The sequence below is a fragment of the Homo sapiens genome, chromosome 20 (assembly GCF_000001405.40).
Source record: "Homo sapiens chromosome 20, GRCh38.p14 Primary Assembly".
Classification (NCBI taxonomy): Eukaryota; Metazoa; Chordata; class Mammalia; order Primates; family Hominidae; genus Homo; species Homo sapiens.
The window spans coordinates 39,796,570-39,817,626 of NC_000020.11; the positions used below are offsets into that span (position 1 = coordinate 39,796,570).

The following is a 21,057-nucleotide window of genomic DNA, read 5'->3' on the forward strand; positions in this document are numbered from 1 at the left end:
GACTCTTTCCCTACCTTTGGGGAAATCACACTCCTACTTGTACTAAGTAATCTTGCAACAGTGTCTATCCCCTCTCATCATTAGTATGTGTGTCCTTGAATGAGTTTTTCAGTGTACAGTCATAATCCTTTGAGGTTTCAGGTGGACAATTAGTCCTGGCTATTGACACTACAATGCTGGAAGGTACTAAGGAGATTGTTAAAGCATTCTCACTTTACTGCTGAAATAACCAAAGGCCAGAGAGGAGAAGCCATTTACCTATACATACATGGTGACATAAGTGGAGCACATACTAGACCTTCTGACTTTCAATTCAGCTTTTTTTCAGCTATGATGACATGTCAATAGGTTCGCAATTGGCCCCTGGTTCTTCAGAGACATTCAGTCAGTTCTTATTGAGTGAATAGATACTGAATGAGTAAAGAGGAACATTTTCTTAGGAATTTAGTTTTAAGTACAACATGGATGCCATGTCAGATGAAAGCACTCACAACTTCGTCATAGATAAATGTTTATGGAAGGCCCCAGTGATGGGATTGAAGGGTCTCATCCTGGAACTGACTGGAGATCGGTCAGGAAGAATCAGGAAGAATCTGATTCTATTTGGATTCCAAATCTTGTTTGCCAGGTCATGTATGATGTGAATTCAGAAGTCAATTAATTTACTAATTCAGTCAAAGCCAATGATTCTGGAAGAGGTGAAATAGCATTATTGGAGTTGAGGATAAGAAGATATTTTGAATTCTCAGTAGCTCAAACTTGCCAGGGGCTTCCTATTCTGGCCCAGGTACCATCACCTTGGGAAGACTTCCTTGTCAGCTGCCAAAATCTCACTTCTTCCTTGGCCCCTGAGAATCCATCCCTTGCTCCAATAGCCAGAGCTACTAATATCCCCTTACCTCAGTGCAGTCAATGGAAGTGATTGGAAACTCTTTCCTCTACTTACATAAACACCTGCCTCAATACCTAGCAGGTATCTACTTCTGCCTACCTAGAGAGAAGTGGATACATTTCTGGATTTGTCAGAATAAATTTAAATAAGGCTGAGGATCCATTCATGGAATCTTGTCCCTCTGGTGATCCTCAAAGCAATTAACAGGGGGGTATAAAAAGTACTTGGATCTTTGTGAGCAAACAGAGATGCTCAGTGTAACTGTAGCTTGAGTACAAAGAGTAAAACTGTTTAATTTGTGCTGACACTCTAGAGAAGTCAAGGGTAGAGAGATGACCGTTGTGTGAGATAGGAAAAAACAAATCATGTTTCTTACTCTCATACTCAACGCAGTACACAGAACACTTCTAACATCAAACATGTAAATTTTTACCCACACATTAATCCTCTGGCAGAACACCCACTAGGTGTCCCGAAATTTAATTAAATTCTGACTATCTACATTTAGTTAGACTCAGATCCCATAGGTTAAGGGATCAGTCCCACAGGACTGCTCTGACCCCCCCACCCCCGACCAAACTTCAGATGCCAATAACAAACTCAGGCCTCAGGAACATCAGGCTGACTAGCTATACAGGGGAGATTTCCACAACTCTCTCCTCGGCTTCCATCATTTGCTAGAGTGGCTCACAGAACTCAGGAAAGTGCTTTATTTACACTCATTGATTTCTTAGAAGAGGTATTACAAAGGATGCAAATAAACACCCAGATGAAGAAAGAATAGGCATTGAACTTCCTCCAGGAAATCTCCATGCTTTCAGCCATACAGAAGCTCTCCTATAGCTTGGGGATTTTACGTAGGCTTCATCATGTTAGGCATAGTATATTATTAACTAAATCTGCAGCTCCACTCCCTTTCTCAGAGGAAGGGAGTGGAGCTGAAAGCTCCAAGCTCATAATGATGGCTTGGTCTTCCTGGTGCCCAGTCACTATCCAAGAGCACACCAAGAGATGCCTCAGAACAGAAAAGACTCTTATTACTCAGGAAATGACAAGGGTTTTAGGAGTTCCGTGCTATGAACTGGAGGCAGAGACCAAATATATATTTCTCATTATATTACAGTATTACAGCCATGTTAATGGATGGATGAATGTGTGGATGGTTTAGACAAATTGTTCTATGAACGAAAGCCTTTCTTGTATCAACACAGAACAACTGACTTGACTTTTCAGAATTATGAGCCTAAATAATTTATTAAAGGCTAGGAAGACAATGAATTTGCTTAACTCAAACTTACTGTCTTTCCTAGACAATTTTTATTCTCTTTTACTTCTAGAAATTATATCCTATCCTCCATGCCCTTATAACACTCTGTAGTTTGCTCAGCTACATTTATGTCTTTATGGTGACTTGCCCATCTGTTTTCATGAGGCTGTGAGCTCCTTGATGGCAGAGACTGTCTTTTTTTCTTTTTATCTATGTGTTATTATCGTTCACTTTTTGTTTTAAAATAATTTCAGAATTATAGAAAAAATTTAAAAGAGTATATGACCTTTACTTAGATTGTCTGCAAATTTTAAAAATGTACTACATTTGCTTACCGTTCTATCTTTCTATCTACCTATCACCTATCTACACACACACAGACACACACACAGACACACATACACACTTTATTATGAAATGTTTAAATGAAGGTTGCACATGATACTCCTTTACCTCTAGATGTTTCAGTACGAATTTCCTAAAATCAAGGGCATCTTCTTATGTAATCACAGTTAAATGATCGAAATCAAGAAATTAACATTGATTCAGTACTATTAACTAGTCAATAGAGGCCTTATTCAAAGTTTACTAGTTGTCCCACTAAATCCAAGGTTCCAAGTCCAGGATCTTATCCACACTCACAGGTTGTATTTAGTTGCCATGTCTGTCTAATCCATCATGTCCTTTTGTTACTCTTGAATCTGGAACAGTTCCTCAGCCTTTCTTTGTCTTTTATAAACTTGGCACATTTGAAAAGGAGAGACCGGGTATTTAGTAGAATGTCTCTTAATTTGGGTTTGTCTGAGGTTTCCTCATAATTATATTCAGACCATGCAACTTTGGCAGAAAAACCACAGAAGTCATGCTGTATCCTTCTCGGTGCATCATATCATGAGGCACATGATGTTGATTTGTCCTGTTTTTTTGTGATGTTAACTATAATTGCTTCATTAAAAGAGTGTCTGCCAGGCTTCTCCACTGTGAAGTTACTATTTTTCTCTTTGCAATTAATTAGTATCTTGTGGGGAAATACTTTGAGACTATGCAAATATCTTGTTTCTCATAGTACTTTCACCTACTAATTTTAGCATCCATTGATGATCCTTGCCTGAAACAATTATTACTCTTGTGGTTGCCAAGTGGTGATTTTCTAATCTCATCTTTCCTTCTATATTTATTAGTTGGAATTCTGACATGTCTTTTCCATCTGTGTCCTCATTGCTTAGGTCAGTCTGGTCCAAAGAAGGTATTATTTTGTGTGAGTTGTTCTCGTTAGTTGCTTAGTGTTATTATAAAAATATTACAAGCAACATCATTGTTTTAAAGAAGAAAGCAGGCAAACATGGTAAATTGTGCTATTCAATAAACTTTATATGAATTGTAATTTAAATAGGTCTTTTAAAAATTAGCATAGACAAAGGCACTTTGTAAACATCATCAGAATACATAAACTGTGGTCCAAAACCCCTTACATAAATGAGACAAGTCTCCAGGATAAAGCCTTCCATCCTCTCTCAAGTGAGTGGGTGTCAGCTGTCTCGGACATAGAGGACTGAGTCATACCTGAGACTATCCTTTGCTTCTGGGTCAGCAAGTTACCCAGAAGAAACTTAACATTGTGATGACACACTTGAGAAAGATTGGACAGTTTTCACAGACAGTTTCGTCTTACTCTCTGTTCTTCAAATTTTAGTTTTTATTTCTCCATAACACAAAAACAATGGGGCAAATTTATTTGCTGCTCCTAGAATTCTTTGAATTTCAAGATATGGATATATTGTTACATTTCTATATACATGGTAGGACCACAAAAAGGGTTAAATAAAAGCATTACATAGATACTACTTACTCCTCAGGGTCCTACAGACATCTTCTCCCCTATCCTGTTTCTTCTTTCTCAGCCTCCTTGTGCAGCGTTTCTTTGTCCTAAACTTGACCTTAGCTGCTGACTAGTTTCTCCCATGACTCAGCCAAAATACTGCACAAGCCTTTACCTTCAGTCCTCTGGGGTTTTGCATCTGGGCAAGTGGCTCTCTTTTCTGGGCAAGCTCTGATCTTTCTTCCTGGAACCCTCCACTGCCACATCTGTCAGTTTGAGGTCTCTGACCCCATCTGGCTTTCCTCCTGGGACACTGGCCCTCTCCCAAGGACAGCCAGAACTCCCAAGTTAATTATCTAGAGTCATATTGCTTCCCTGTCTATCCTGACTTAAAAGGGGGAAAAATCCTGCTTCCTTTTGGTTCTCCAGAATAATTTAGAACTTTTCAGAAAGAATTACAACTATAAAACAAGGATAAAACAGAGACAAAAAGGTTAAATAGAAAAATAGTTTTTAAAGACTCCAAAGTTCATATCAAATTTAGTTTTAAATACAGATTATATTAAGTGGCCTAAGTTAGACTACTAGGACCCACAGTACTGATCACTACACCATCCATTAATTTTATCTTTTAGGGAAAGCCCTTGGGTGAGGTGACATCTGTTTTTAGTTTTAAATATTTCTTGGTCCCATCTTATGGAAAAGGAACCAAGGTATAGTTCCACAATCTCATGAAACTCCCAACTCGATGAGGATCAAGGCTATGGCTGTGGTATTCACAGACAAATCTTCTGAGGCTCATATAAAGTCTGTAGTAGAGTAGGTAATCCAATGATCATGCACTTAAATTTTCTCAAAACATTCTCCCACAGAACTTTAGCAAATTCCTGAATTTCCAGTATTTAGGCACCAGAACTATATCTTCCAAACTGCAGAATTAGAAAACAAAGTCTGATGGGCTTCCCTTTGAGGGTAACCCGACCTTTCTCTCTGGCTGCCCTTAACATTTTTTCCTTCATTTCAACTTTGGTGAATCTGACAATTATGTGTCTTGGAGTTGCTCTTCTCGAGGAGTATCTTTGTGGCGTTCTCTGTATTTCCTGAATCTTAACGTTGGCCTGCCTTGCTAGATGGGGGAAGTTCTCCTGGATAATATCCTGCAGAGTGTTTTCCAATTTGTTTCCATTCTCCCCATCACTTTCAGGTACACCAATCAGACGTAGATTTGGTCTTTTCACATAGTCCCATATTTCTTGGAGGCTTTGCTCATTTCTTTTTATTCTTTTTTCCCTAAACTTCCCTTCTCGCTTCATTTCATTCATTTCATCTTCCATCGCTGATCCCCTTTCTTCCAGTTGATCGCATCGGCTCCTGAGGCTTCTGCATTCTTCATGTAGTTCTCGAGCCTTGGTTTTCAGCTCCTTTAAGCACTTCTCTGTATTGGTTATTCTAGTTATACATTCTTCTAATTTTTTTTCAAAGTTTTCAACTTCTTCGCCTTTGGTTTGAATGTCCTCCCGTAGCTCAGAGTAATTTGATCGTCTGAAGCCTTCTTCTCTCAGCTCGTCAAAGTCATTCTCCATCCAGCTTTGTTCCGTTGCTGGTGAGGAACTGCGTTCCTTTGGAGGAGGAGAGGCGCTCTGCTTTTTAGAGTTTCCAGTTTTTCTGTTCTGTTTTTTCCCCATCTTTGTGGTTTTATCTACTTTTGGTCTTTGATGATGGTGATGTACAGATGGGTTTTTGGTGTGGATGTCCTTTCTGTTTGTTAGTTTTCCTTCTAACAGAGAGGACCCTCAGCTGCAGGTCTGTTGGAGTACCCTGCCGTGTGAGGTGTCAGTATGCCCCTGCTGGGGGGTGCCTCCCAGTTAGGCTGCTCGGGGGTCAGGGGTCAGGGACCCACTTGAGGAGGCAGTCTGCCCGTTCTCAGATCTCCAGCTACGTGCTGGGAGAACCACTGTTCTCTTCAAAGCTGTCAGACAGGGACATTTAAGTCTGCAGAGGTTACTGCTGTCTTTTTGTTTGTCTGTGCCCTGCCCCCAGAGGCGGAGCCTACAGAGGCAGGCAGGCCTCCTTGAGCTGTGGTGGGCTCCACCCAGTTCCAGCTTCCCGGAATTCAACAAGAAGAGCTAACTATCCTAAATATATATGCACCCAATACAGGAGCACCAAGATTCATAAAGCAAGTCCTGAGTGACCTACAAAGAGACTTAGACTCCCACGCAATAATAATGGGAGACTTTAACACCCCACTGTCAACATTAGACAGATCAACGAGACAGAAAGTCAACAAGGATACCCAGGAATTGAACTCAGCTCTGCACCAAGCGGACCTAATAGATATCTACAGAACTCTCCACCCCAAATCAACAGAATATACATTTTTTTCAGCACCACACCACACCTAGTCCAAAATTGACCACATAGTTGGAAGTAAAGCTCTCCTCAGCAAATGTAAAAGAACAGAAATTATAACAAACTATCTCTCAGACCACAGTGCAATCAAACTAGAACTCAGGATTAAGAATCTCACTCAAAACCGCTCAACTACATGGAAACTGAACAACCTGCTCCTGAATGACTACTGGGTACATAACGAAATGAAGGCAGAAATAAAGATGTTCTTTGAAACCAACGAGAACAAAGACATAACATACCAGAATCTCTGGGACGCATTCAAAGCAGTGTGTAGAGGGAAATTTATAGCACTAAATGCCCACAAGAGAAAGCAGGAAAGATCCAAAATTGACACCCTAACATCACAATTAAAAGAACTAGAAAAGCAAGAGCAAACACATTCAAAAGCTAGCAGAAGGCAAGAAATAACTAAAATCAGAGCAGAATTGAAGGAAATAGAGACACAAAAAACCCTTCAAAAAATTAATGAATCCAGGAGCTGGTGTTTTGAAAGGATCAACAAAATTGATAGACCGCTAGCAAGACTAATAAAGAAAAAAAGAGAGAAGAATCAAATAGACGCAATAAAAAATGATAAAGGGGATATCACCACCGATCCCACACAAATACAAACTACCATCAGAGAATACTACAAACACCTCTATGCAAATAAACTAGAACATCTAGAAGAAATGGATAAATTCCTGGACACATACACTCTCCCAAGACTAAACCAGGAAGAAGTTGAATCTCTGAATAGACCAATAACAGGATCTGAAATTGTGGCAATAATCAATAGCTTACCAACCAAAAAGAGTCCAGGACCAGATGGATTCACAGCCGAATTCTACCAGAGGTACAAGGAGGAACTGGTACCATTCCTTCTGAAACTATTCCAATCAATAGAAAAAGAGGGAATCCTCCCTAACTCATTTTATGAGGCCAGCATCATTCTGATACCAAAGCCAGGCAGAGACACAACCAAAAAAGAGAATTTTAGACCAACATCCTTGATGAATATTGATGCAAAAATCCTCAATAAAATACAGGCAAAATGAATCCAGCAGCACATCAAAAAGCTTATCCATCATGATCAAGTGGGCTTCATCCCTGGGATGCAAGGCTGGTTCAATATATGCAAATCAATAAATGTAATCCAGCATATAAACAGAGCCAAAGACAAAAACCACATGATTATCTCAATAGATGCAGAAAAAGCCTTTGACAAAATTCAACAACCCTTCATGCTAAAAACTCTCAATAAATTAGGTATTGATGGGACGTATTTCAAAATAATAAGAGCTATCTATGACAAACCCACAGCCAATATCATACTGAATGGGCAAAAACTGGAAGCATTCCCTTTGAAAACTGGCACAAGACAGGGATGCCCTCTCTCACCACTCCTATTCAACATATTTGTTGGAAGTTCTGGCCAGGGCAATTAGGCAGGAGAAGGAAATAAAGGGTATTCAATTAGGAAAAGAGGAAGTTAAATTGTCCCTGTTTGCAGACGACATGATTGTATATCTAGAAAACCCCATTGTCTCAGCCCAAAATCTCCTTAAGCTGATAAGCAACTTCAGCAAAGTCTCAGGATACAAAATCAATGTACCAAAATCACAAGCATTCTTAAACACCAACAACAGACAAACAGAGATCCATATCATGAGTGAACTCCCATTCACAATTGCTTCAAAGAGAATAAAATACCTAGTAATCCAACTTACAAGGGATGTTGAAGGACCTCTTCAAGGAGAACTACAAACCACTGCTCCATGAAATAAAAGAGGATACAAACAAATGGAAGAACATTCCATGCTCATGGGTAGGAAGAATCAATATCGTGAAAATGGCCATACTGCCCAAGGTAATTTACAGATTCAATGCCATCCCCATCAAGCTACCAATGACTTTCTTCACAGAATTGGAAAAAACTACTTTAAAGTTCATATGGAACCAAAAAAGAGCCCGCATCACCAAGTCAATCCTAAGCCAAAAGAACAAAGCTGGAGGCATCACACTACCTGACTTCAAACTATACTACAAAGCTACAGTAACCAAAACAGCATGGTACTGGTACCAAAACAGAGATATAGATCAATGGAACAGAACAGAGCCCTCAGAAATAACGCCGCATATCTACAACTATCTGATCTTTGACAAACCTGAGAAAAACAAGCAATGGGGAAAGGATTCCCTATTTAATAAATGGTGCTGGGAAAACTGGCTAGCCATATGTAGAAAGCTGAAACTGGATCCATTCCTTACACCTTATAGAAAAATCAATTCAAGATGGATTAAAGACTTAAACGTTAGACCTAAAACCATAAAAACCCTAGAAGAAAACCTAGGCATTACCATTCAGGACATAGGCATGGGCAAGGACTTCATGTCTAAAACACCAAAAGCAATGGCAACAAAAGACAAAATTGACAAATGGGATCTAATTAAACTAAAGAGCTTCTGCACAGCAAAAGAAACTACCATCAGAGTGAACAGGCAACCTACAAAATGGGAGAAAATTTTTGCAACCTACTCATCTGACAAAGGGCTAATATCCAGAATCTACAATGAACTCAAACAAATTTACAAGAAAAAAACAAACAACCCCATCAAAAAGTGGGTGAAGGACATGAACAGACACTTCTCAAAAGAAGACATTTATGCAGCCAAAAAACACATGAAAAAACGCTCATCATCACTGGCCATCAGAGAAATGCAAATCAAAGCCACAATGAGATACCATCTCACACCAGTTAGAATGGCAATCATTAAAAAGTCAGGAAACAACAGGTGCTGGAGAGGATGTGGAGAAATAGGAACACTTTTACACTGTTGGTGGGACTGTAAACTAGTTCAACCATTGTGGAAGTCAGTGTGGCGATTCCTCAGGGATGTAGAACTGGAAATACCATTTGACCCAGCCATCCCTTTACTGGGTATATACCCAAAGGACTATAAATCATGCTGCTATAAAGACACATGCACACGTATGTTTATTGCGGCATTATTCACAATAGCAAAGACTTGGAACCAACCCAAATGTCCAACAATGATAGACTGGATTAAGAAAATGTGGCACATATACACCATGGAATACTATGCAGCCATAAAAAATGATGAGTTCATGTCCTTTGTAGGGACATGGATGAAATTGGAAATCATCATTCTCAGTAAACTATCGCAAGAACAAAAAACCAAACACCGCGTATTCTCACTCATAGGTGGGAATTGAACAATGAGATCACATGGACACAGGAAGGGGAATATTACACTCTGGGGACTGTGGTGGGGTGGGGGGAGGGGGGAGGGATAGCATCGGGAGATATACCTAATGCTAGATGACGAGTTAGTGGGTGCAGCGCACCAGCATGGCACATGTATACGTATGTAACTAACCTGCACAATGTGCACATGTACCCTAAAACTTAAAGTATAATAAAAAAAAGAAAAAAATATATTTTCAGATAATTTCTAATGGCATAAATGGTTTTGCAGAGTTTTGAAAGCCAGTGTAACTTTTAGTAGCAGTTTCTTATGTACAGATAATCAACTATTAATAAACTTCATTTAAATAAAGTAAAAAAAAAGAAAACAAAGTCATGTGCAAAGGAACAACTCTCAATTGGAATTAAAAACATAACAATTGTTACAGCAACATGGGTCCATATTAGCTAGGGTAAAAAGCCTGGTATCTAACCAGTATGTTCCTTGCAACATTTTGGAAGGACACAGGGAAGGGTATAGCTTATTGTGCATAAAATCTGTAGACCCAAGATCACCAAGAATTGAGTGAAGACAAGTGGAAATATGGAAGCAGGGGGTAATATGGTGAATAGTTGTCTTGGATAAGCTTGTCAATGATCATATCATTTTCCCTAAAAGAAATCAAGCCTTTAATTACTTTATAATTTTTATATAAAATTTGTTTTTCTCTTATTTTGACATACAAATGTGGAGTCTTGGATTAGACTTGCTGACACTGAGACTTTAGGAGACAGGTTCAGTAGCTGAAGTTTCCTCATCTATAAAATGGGCACATTACTTATCATGTAATGCTGTTATGAAGATTAAGTGAAAGAGAAAATATCTTGCATGAAACCAGCCTATTTGAAGAACATGCTACTATTTCACTCTTTCTTAACTTTGTCCTTCTGTCTGGTGGTAGGCATAATTTTAATAACAGCCACCAAGTTTCCATACCCTAATATCCGGAATCTATGAACTATCACCTCCATGATTATCTTACATTTTAATGCACAGTTAACTTTAACACAGAAAGATTATCTGCCTAATCTAGTTTCACGAGCCCCTTTCAAAACAGGATTTTCTCCAGCTGGTAACAGAAGAGGACTGCAGAGGGTGTCAGAGAGATTTTCATCATAAGAATTTGATGGTAGCCTATCATTGTTGGACATTTGGGTTAGTTCCAAGTCTTTGCTATTGTGAGTAATAACCTAAAACTTAAAGTATAATAATAATAATAATAATTAATAATAATAATAATAAAATTTGATGGTAGCTTTGAAGATGGAGGGGCATGATGAGACATGAGAAGCTGAATGGTCCCCATCTGACAGCCAGTGAGGAAACAGGAACCTCAGTCCTATAGCAATGAAGAAATGGATTCTTTCAACAGTCTGAATGAGCTTTGATGTAGGTTTTTTCCCCAGTTTCTCCAGATAAGAGCCCAGCCCAGCTGACACTATAACTGGAGCTTTGCAAAATACTCAGCAGAGAAACCTGTTGAGCCCACCTGGACTTCCAAACTTATAGAACTGTGAGATAAAAATGGTGTTATTTGAAGCCATTAAAGCTTATGGTAATTTATTATGCAGTAATAAGAAATAGATAAACATCCTTTCTTTCCTTCTTTTTCCATTAATAAACATTTATTTCTGGCATAGCATGTGCAGGGTACAGCTTCAGACACTATAAAACTCAGGGCATTTAATTCTCCAAACATCTCTAAGAAGTAAGTTTTAATATCCCCATTTTCATGTAAGGGTGAACATAGGGGTATAAATTTTGGACACTGTCTGGACTTTAACCCAAATCCTATTGCAACATTTTGTTATTTCCATTTTCCCCTCTTTCCTACAGGATTCAAATTTTCCTCTGCCCAAGTGGTCAAGGGGGGCAGAAGGCCCTAGGAGAAGGGGGGCAGTGAGGCACGCATTACTCCTGAGGTCGTTATGGAGATAGTGCAAATTGGATGCCAGCACCATGGGTCACAGTGGCACTTGGAGACTTTAAGAAGTCATTATTATTGTCAAGCTTGCTCCCCGCATCTTCCCCTCAAATTCTCAGAATTGAATTTGGCACAGTTAGCCAGAAGGCCTGGCTCTGCTTTGGAGTGCATGAAAAGGGATTATGATAACAATGATAACAATTAATATTTAATAACTATTTATTCTGTTCCAGGCATCAATTAATCTTCAAATCTACCCTCTGCCTTGGCCAGGGTGCTGCTGTGCCAAGCCTTATTGGTGCCTGAGGCAGAAGGAAAAATGTATACTCTGGCTATAATGGAAGTAAACACATCAACAATATTTTCAAAATCTACTTCATTGCTAGTTTCATTTTCAAAGAAGAGAATTGTCATACTGACAATTTCTCTTCACCCAGTGACAATTTTGAATACATTTTCATTAACTGAAGCTAAATTAAAATGATCATAAATATATTTGGGTATATATACTATACTTAAGCTGAGAATAATGTTTATTTTAATACTTACATTTCATTTTTCAATATTTTTTCAACTATTTTAATATTCTGCAAAAAACCACTAGGAAAACACATAAAAATATGTATAGAAATGTGTGCATGTACACACACACACATGTTTTGCCTCAGGCTCAATATGGCTAAATAGATCAACAGTCTTTATTTAAAATTTTGATTATTTTCATCATGGATTTTTTTTGCATAAATTTTAATGTCTAAAAATATATTGTATTAAATTATTATTTACCGTGATTACTGAGTTTCTTGACAACTCCTTTAATTTTTTGGCTGAGTGACTTACTTATCCTAGTTTTGGCCCTTGTTCAGAGCAAACACCCAGCTTCTCCCAAGGGGCTTAGCCTCTCTAGACTTTTCTGTACATTGAAGAAGATCCAAATATTGACTGCCTTATTTTCCAGGCATGTATTGGTGAATTTAGACATTTCAAAGTCTCAAAGTGTCTCATTTTTTTGACAACTTTAGCCTGTCCTAGGTTATGTTACATAAACATAGGGCTTTGCAAAGCTTTCGTTTGGAAAAAAAACAAAACAAAAACTTACAAAAACTGTAGCTGCACAAATATAGCAAGAATTGTAATGCTAATCTGAGATGTATTCACCCTAATATTGAGAGGCATCTGGAATACTGCTGGGGGCCAATGTACATGCAGAGTAAAGGAATCTTCTGGGAGAGAGAGAAGGGAGGTGTGCAATTTTCTACAATGAGTAAGTGTTAATTGTTTGGCCAACAGTGTCTTTATTGCTCTGGTAATAATAGAAAAAAGCAGTAATACAAATATATTCTGGGTCATAAAGATCACTACTCTTAGTTTTACTTTTATTTCACTATACTTGCATTTGTGTTTTAATGCAAGAAGCCCAGCACCCTGCCCCACCAAAATAATTTAAAAAAAAAGATAAGAGATCTTACCGAATAAATGAGGTGTTCATTCTAAGTGAAGGTCAGTGGATATCTTCAATTCATTTGTATGAATAAAGCTTTCATAGCAGTTCAAACAGGCAAACAGCGTGAGGGGATGGGGACAGGAATTGAATCATGGCACAGTGCACCATAGTATGGGCTTGTCAGGCGGCAAAGATACTGTAAAAATATAGCTATCAGTGTCATGTTCAGATTTCAAATGGCAATTTAATTTCAGGAACACAATACAAGATGCCACACTGAATTGATATTGTTAGTTCAAATGGAATGGTTATTATTGTTTTGTTTCCATTGAAGTTGTAAATGTGTTTTTTGCTATAGTCATACATGAACCATGAAGATAAACAGTTAATATAGAGCTTTATTTTATATACTTTGAAGTTATATTATGACAAATAATTTATATAAACATTGGACATACAGGTAATTTTTTTTCCCTTCAAAAAGGCCATTATGCCACCCAAGTTTAAAAGCCTGGAACTCTAAGAAGTGTCCCAGTTATTTAGAGAATATGTGGGATGCAGAGAGAAGGTGGTGCTTAATCCTGAGGGGCTAATAGCTTGTCGTAGTGTCTCTTAGCTATGATGGAGGAGATATTTGAGAGCCTTAAGCCTTCTTTACACTTTTTACTCATAACTGCAGTCTTTGCTTCATGATGAAGCTAATCTGAGCAACTCTATAGTCTGTTCACAAAGTGTTAGAGCAAAGTTAGAACCACTCTTGCTTCCTCCTCACATCAAACAGCCTAATGAGATTGTTAGCAACATTGTGAGAACCTGTTATCTTTACATCTCAGCAAGAAGGTGTGTATGTGCGGGTGGGCATGCCCACGTGTGGATGAGGTGTGGAATTGTCACTGCTGTTGCACTTCCAAATTCTGGGAACTGTGAATTTGGCTGGGCAGGGTCTGGGCTTCCAGCCAGCTGCTAAGCTGTCCAGGTAGATGACACACTAATTAGGGGAATTGCAAACCAATTAGCACTTTGGCTGGATTGGCTGATGTGTCTTAGCAACTTCTTCACTGAATGTTTTGTGATAAGAACCAGTCCAATGTGCCTCCCTAAACCCCTCACCATCTAGATGGGTTATCCAGTCTGTCCTGGAAAAGGGAATGCTTTAGCCCTAGGGACATTATTAATGTTTCAATCCTAAACTGTCAGCCTTTCTTCAGAAGGTAGCAATTCTCCCCTGAGAGATGACTATCATGCTTTGGGGCTGGTGGGCTAGGCCAGACCTGCACTGTGAAGAGGAGAGGCAAAAAAAGAAAAAGAAAAAAGAAAAGAAAAGAAAAGAAAAAAGAAAGCTTGCCTAGAGGGTTGGAAGGTCAGTAGCTCCCTGTTGAACACATTAATCTGTATGGTCATTGTCAGCTTGGATACAGATTCCAGAATTGGTTTTATTTTTCTTTCTTCAGAAGCATCCTTGCTCTCAGCCTTCTGCAGACTGCAGGCACCTAGCCTACCTGCCCTCTTCCCTGATAGCTCTGCCTCTCATCTTCACTGGTGTTGGTTCCCTACACCAACCCTGCCCTGTTGACCTCTGCTGGCCTCGTAGCAGAGAAGGAGAGGGAAGGCTGGGGACCAAGGAGGAGGGGAGGCACTTCTACAGGAGTATGTTCTGATTAATTAATTTTTTCTTTTGTATTCTAAGATGCTATTAATGCACCCAAAGGAAATTGTTTACTTCTAAATGGTTACAACACATAGAAAAGTGTTTCTCATTTTTTTATAATATAATAACAACTATACTAATTTCTTAGTATATGACAGCTTCTGAGTGGCCATAACAATTTTTTAAAAAGGAACAAGGGATTATGTTCTAGTGTCCTCATCACTATCTTCCTTTATAGGAAAATGTGACTCTTAGAGCAGTAATCACCTCTGGGTGCCTGATTCGAATAGTTCCCTATGTGTATATGATGTGTATGTATATGTGTACATGTGACACAGAACTTTCAGTCTAACCTCTAGCATGTGAGGGATTCCATCCTTTCCCCATACATAAAGAAAGGTGATTTTAAAAGACCTTTTTGAAAATAGACTAATCATAGAGTTCAGAACAATGTTTCCTTAGTTCACGGTTTGTGTGCATGATTATACCAATTTGGTCTCCCTTATTCAAGAAGGAACAGGTAAGCAAAAATGGTGTGTATAATTCAAAAGACCATTCTCAACACACTTTCTATTGGCAGCCTCAGTTGTTCACACCTTAGCATCTCTACATGTCTAGGCAAGCCCGGAGAGCTTAGCATGGTTGGGATTGGGACTTTGAATTGGGAATACAGGAGCCACTTGGGATGGAATTTTCTCTAAACGTGGTTTATTTCATTTACCAGATCTTATCAATTACCAGTGAATCTACATATTACCATACTGAGAAACATTCTGAGGAGTGTTGCAAATCATCTATAAGGAATGCAGAATCCTTTCACCAAAATTGTCATTGAGGCAGGAGTCAGGGGTGGTGATGTTTGCAATCTCTGCCTTAAGGACCAGAGAAAGTCAACATACACAAAATTGATTAATGGGTGAGACAGCATGATTGGCTTTTATCCTGCACCCTTTCCTGTCTCCACACACATACCCTGGCCTCATGGATGCAGTACATTTTCCTGACTCTTGACTTTGGAGTAGTCACGTGAATCTGTTTTAGCCAATGGCATATGGGTAGGAGTCATAGTGGGCTGATTCAGAGACTAGGGCAAGAGGCCTCCTCTGCTTCCACTTGCTCTATGTTTCTACCGTCATTGTGAGCTAAACATGCCCTGACTAGCCCCATGGTTACAGGAGATTGAAAGACAGAGCAGAGATCAACTGAACTAGCCATTCTGCAGAATTGGGAGACTTTGGAGATGGTTTGTTACACAACAGTGGTTAATAATACAGTCCACAAATGAAACCTTGGTTACTAAATAAATGTATAATTGTGAATACAGAAGAGTGTCATTTTCGCAATGGAGCACGAAGAAATTTACATCTGAGTCCCAGGGCAAGCGGACTGCAAGCAAACACTGCCAATAAAAATGGCAAGAAGTATTTCATTAATAAATTATAATAGAGACTCAAAACCTGCTACTGCCAGGCAAAGCAGGTTTTTAGCCCATGTTGTGTAATGTCATACTTGTAGAGGTAGGTATAAGGATGCATTGGTTTTGGAATATGTCTATAAATTTTTGACACTCCTACCACCAAGAGGTGGATTTTAATTTCCTTCCTCTTGATTATGTTCCAGCCTTAGAAGTTAGAAATTACTTGCATCTAACAAATATTATACAGAGCAATGGTATTGTATGGTTTCTGAGGCTAGGTTACAAGAGATAATATAGCCTTTTCTCTCTCTTGTAGGCACCCACACCCTTGGAGCCCAAAACCATGCCATGCACATGTAACCAACCAGCTACATGTGAAGATCACATAAAGGTGTTCTTGTCCTGGCTCTAGCTAAGGTTCCAGCTCTCAGTCAGCATCAATTGTGGAAGATGGGAGTGCATGAGCTTTTAGATGATTTCAGTCCCCTGCCTTTGACACCAAGTGGAACTGAGATGATCTTTCCACCGAGCCCTAGTCAAACTGCAGATTCATGAGCAAAATAAACACCATCATTACTGAAGCAACATGGCATGTGGGGTGATATGTTGGGGAAGCCATAGATAATCAGAGAAAGCTCCTTTTCTTTGTGAGCAATATTATTTGCATAGGAGAGAGACAAAGCTGCATGGACTGGAAACTTCCATGACCAAAAAAGATGTCATTTTCTAAGGGCTTGAGTGGGAGGTGGCCCTGACAGCATCTGCATGAGCCAGAGATGCACTCACACTTTCATTATTGCTTGAGGGTGCCAAGAACTGTAGCAGTAAGAGCAGAAGCAGAAATGAAGAACACGAAGGATGCTATGGAGTGAGAGAAAAGTCCATGCTTGCAAGAATCCAAAGACACCCTGTGAGGACGCCCCAAAATACTCGAGGAAGTGTGTAAGTAGAGCTGGACCTTTCATTCTCCCAGCTGGGGTAGAACTGGAGCCATGTGTGCAGGGCCTGCTTCTTCTTCAGGGCTGCCGTGTCCTGGAAAGCCAAGCTTGCACATGGGTTATAGCACTCCACTTTCCCAAAGCCCTCATATACATCATCTGTTTCAGTGCTCGCATTAACACCTGTGAAGTAGATATTATTCCCAGGTCTCACAGCCCATAAATGGAAACTCTGCCGGGAAATAAGTCCTGCTTTTCTCTCTGTACCAGAGCTGCCCCAGCAAATTAAAGCTTATTCTAAATGTAGGTACCTAGAGCATTTCTTAAATTAAACCCAGAGTGAATTCTGAACCTCAGTCTAAGCCTCTACTGATTTGTCTATTCTGTGAGTTCAGAGTTCTGCATAGTAAAATCTCATTAATTCAATCTCCATGAATGTAGAATTTGGGGTAGGCATCAGAAAGCAGTCTCTCCTTAGTCACTTAGCCACACTTACTTTGGCCCAATGACCCAAAAATTTCTTGTTAAGGCCTTTCTTTAAAATGATCTCTAAGGCAGGCACTTTATAAATGAAAATCACGCCCACCTAAGCCTAGGCTTGCAGGTTTGTCTGCCTCGGGCTTTCAGGTATGTCTGGTTCTCTTACCCCATCAAAGGGACAGACTGCTCACAGGTGCTTAAGATCATCCTGGCATGGACCCTTGTTTTATGCAAAGTGTGTGCCAGTGCTGGATGTGAAAACACCAGTCGATTCCCATTCGCTGGTCTTAGCCAGTCAGAACCTTGCTTCTGAGGCAGGGTGATACTGTGGTTACTTCTCTCAGATTTCCCTCTAATGTTTGGAAGTTCCTATACACCATACTGTTTTTGCATTAGCCACAGATGTAGGCTGCAAATGTCTACTAGGCAGCATGGGCTAACCAAAATAAGGACACGATTGACCCAACCTTGTCATTCTTAGAGACACTGGAAATCTCCTCAAGTTGGTAATAACTAGAATTTTTTATCAAATAATCACTGTTTTACAGATAAAGATGGTGCCTCCACATAAACTGAACATATGGCCGGCAAAGAGCACCCCTATTCCATCATCCAAGTTCTCCTTCCTTAGCTGAAGTGAAAACATTTGAAATTGATGATACAAAGTGCTGGGGAGGGTGGAGAGAAATGGCCCCTGTCTAAGCTATATGGAGAGTGAATAGCAAGGCAGTTTGCCAATATCTATCACTTGTTAAATCCACATACACTTTGCTCCAGGAATTAGAATTTCAGGAATTTATCTTAAAACTGTTGTAACAACACATATATGAAGAGGTTTATTGTAGCCTTGCTTACAGTGACTAAGTATCAGAAACAACCTAGATAACTGTCAGTGGGAACTGGTTGAATAATTTGTTTTATCAACATGTAGGAAAATATCCAATCTCTATAGAGAATGAGGCAAACTTTTACAAACTTTGTAAGATGTATTTCTAAGTAAAAATAAACATAAGAACAAACAAATGAAAATAACAATGACATGATTTAGAAGAGTGTATAAAATAAAATACAAAAGACACACACATACACAACTCAGCATTACAGTGAAAATTTTGGAAAGATAAAATGGAAACCATTATAATGGTTACAGCTAGTATTCTGGTAAAAAAGAAACATATTTTCAAGATACTGTTCAGTACCATTTGAAGTTTTTATTTATTTCATTTTTAAACCATGTATTACATTTTTTAAATTAAAAGAAAGCAAAAGCTAAAAGCAATATGAACACAGAAAAGTCAGTATGAGGTTGTCGATACGTAAAGTTTGAAAGTGCAGACTTTTCAAAATGGCATCACAGGAAAACTAAGGAATATATACATTTTGGACATCAAATTGCATCCCAGCACGGAGAATATTTCTTGAAGAAAGTGGCTGGGTTTGATTTAAGGACTTGAGGGCTGGGGTATTTTGCCACAAAACTCTATTTTTTTCTTTCCCAAAGTGCGTGTGACCCTGGGGTTAACTACATTCAATGTTTTATCAACTCACCCTTTCATACACTCTGCTATACTATTTTGAAACCAAATTTAGGCTACTTTGCATCAGCCAGTGAAAAGCCAATTTCAAATTGACACATATGTTGTTGTTATCTGCTGGTCAACGGTTCTGTTTTAGCAGGTTGTCATCTTTGTTTCTGTTTTTGTGATCTTGTTGCTTTTATTTTTGAGACTATTATTTTGATTCTGTTGCCCAAAGCTTCTCTAGAAAAAAATTTCACAGGGAGGGAGCAGCTGCCAAGATCCACACCTTCTTCCCTCCACACCAACTCACTCCATCATCTTCAACAACTGCCAACCTATTCATCCTGCTTCAGTTGGAAGAGCTAAACTTTTTGTTTATTTTTGGATTCAAGATAAAATTTTATTCAAAAGATGGAATCCTGTAATAAAACACTCTTGGAAAATAATCTTTAATTGCAGTTTGCATATAATATTATTTCAAATTGAATATGATACAGACAAATTAAACGGCTAATGCCAGTGTTAAAAAATGCAAGTTTCCTAAATGTAATGTAATTGAGATAAAGACAGTATTTGTTAGGCTTGCAAAGAAGAGACTATTTAAGTAGAAGTATGAGGTAGGGCTAAGCACATGGCTTTTGGGGCCAGAATGCCTGGGCTTAGACCTTAGTGCTGCTAATTATTGGCTATGCAAACTTGGGCAATCATTTACACATTCTGTGCTCTGCATATATGACATAGAAATGTTCCTGGTGCTAGTGATATCACATAGCTTTGTTATGTAATTTAATCAATTACTTGAAGGACTTAGACCATGCTCAGTGCACAGTAAGCATTATATAAATATTAGCTACTGTCATTACCTTTAATCAGGTGCTCCTTATTAGGCTTAATACTATGTTCAAAGGTTAATATGCATGAAATATTGGAAACATATTAATATTATTTGGAGTTTTATAATCTACTTTGGCTTTGGGGGAAATGAATCACTCATGATATGAAAATCAATAATTCAACTTCTACACATTTAAATTCCATATATATTTTCAGGACACACTAAATAACACATTAGAAGCCTTTCTGCTCAAGTATCTTAGTCATTTTCTAGACATAATTTACATACAGTAAAGTCCACAAATCAGTTATACAGATGCAGACACCTATGTAACCACCACTCAGAACACGAGAGAACATTTCCAGCAACCAAGAAGGCTCCCACCTGCTCCTTCTCAATCAATATCCCTAAAACAGTGAACCCTCTGACCTCTACCCTTTAATTAGCTTTTCCTGTCCTTAAGGTTCATATAAATGAGCTCATTCAGTGAGTTCTCTTTGTGTCTGGCTCCTTTTGCTTGGCAAATCTGTGAGTCCCATCAATGTTGTATGATAGACTACAATCATTTGCTCTATTCTGTTGATGGACCTTTGAGTTGCTTCCAGTTTGGGGCTATTTGAATTAAACATTTTTATAGATCACGAGGTCAGGAGTTCAAGAACAGCCTGGCCAACATAGTGAAACCCCGTCTCTACTAAAAATACAAAAATTAGCTGGATGTGGTGACACGTGCCTGTAGTCCCAGCTATTCAGGAGGCTGAGGCAGGAGAATCGCTTAAACCCAGGAGGTGGAGGTTGCAGTGAGCCAAGACCACACCATTGCACTCCAGCCTGGGTGACAGAGTGAGACTCTGTCTCAAAAAAACAAAACAAAACAAAACAACATTTTTGAGCATTTTTGTACGTGTCTTCTGATGAATACACAACTTGCATCTCTTGAGGAGGGAGATTTCTGAATCATAATGTAGGCTTTTGTTTAGCACAACAGCCCACCAGTTTTTCTTTGCATTTCGTAAGGCAAGTTGCACCATTCTTGTCCCAGATTGGAGGCCAACTTTTCTTCAGCAATGTGGCAGGGTGGCCTGTACTATGGGTGTATTAGCCTGTTCTCATGCTGCTAACAAAGACATACCTGAGACTGGGTAATTTATAAAGGAAAGAGGTTTAATTGACTCACAGCTCCACATGGCTGGGGATTCTCACAATCAT

At 39.0% G+C, this 21,057-nt stretch overlaps 1 long non-coding RNA gene across 2 annotated transcripts in view, besides 1 other annotated feature; it reads left to right on the top strand.

Moving 5' to 3' along the window:
- The window catches only part of LOC105372614 (uncharacterized), a 58,827-nt gene extending 39,368 nt beyond the window's left edge, over window positions 1-19,459 (top strand). For both annotated transcript variants that reach the window (XR_936714.3, XR_001754592.2), the window contains one exon: window positions 16,392-19,459. This is a non-coding gene — a long non-coding RNA (uncharacterized LOC105372614). The remainder of the gene's footprint in view (window positions 1-16,391) is intronic.
- Window positions 3,756-4,955: an enhancer, noted in NCBI's record as "CDK7 strongly-dependent group 2 enhancer chr20:38428967-38430166 (GRCh37/hg19 assembly coordinates)". NCBI's record gives its function as "activates an origin of replication core promoter dependent on BRD2, BRD4, P300/CBP, MED14 and CDK7 cofactors, with strong dependence on CDK7, by STARR-seq in HCT116 cells {active_cell/tissue: HCT116}" and the evidence as "EXISTENCE:reporter gene assay evidence [ECO:0000049][PMID:35650434]".
- Window positions 19,460-21,057: the final 1,598 nt, after the last annotated feature.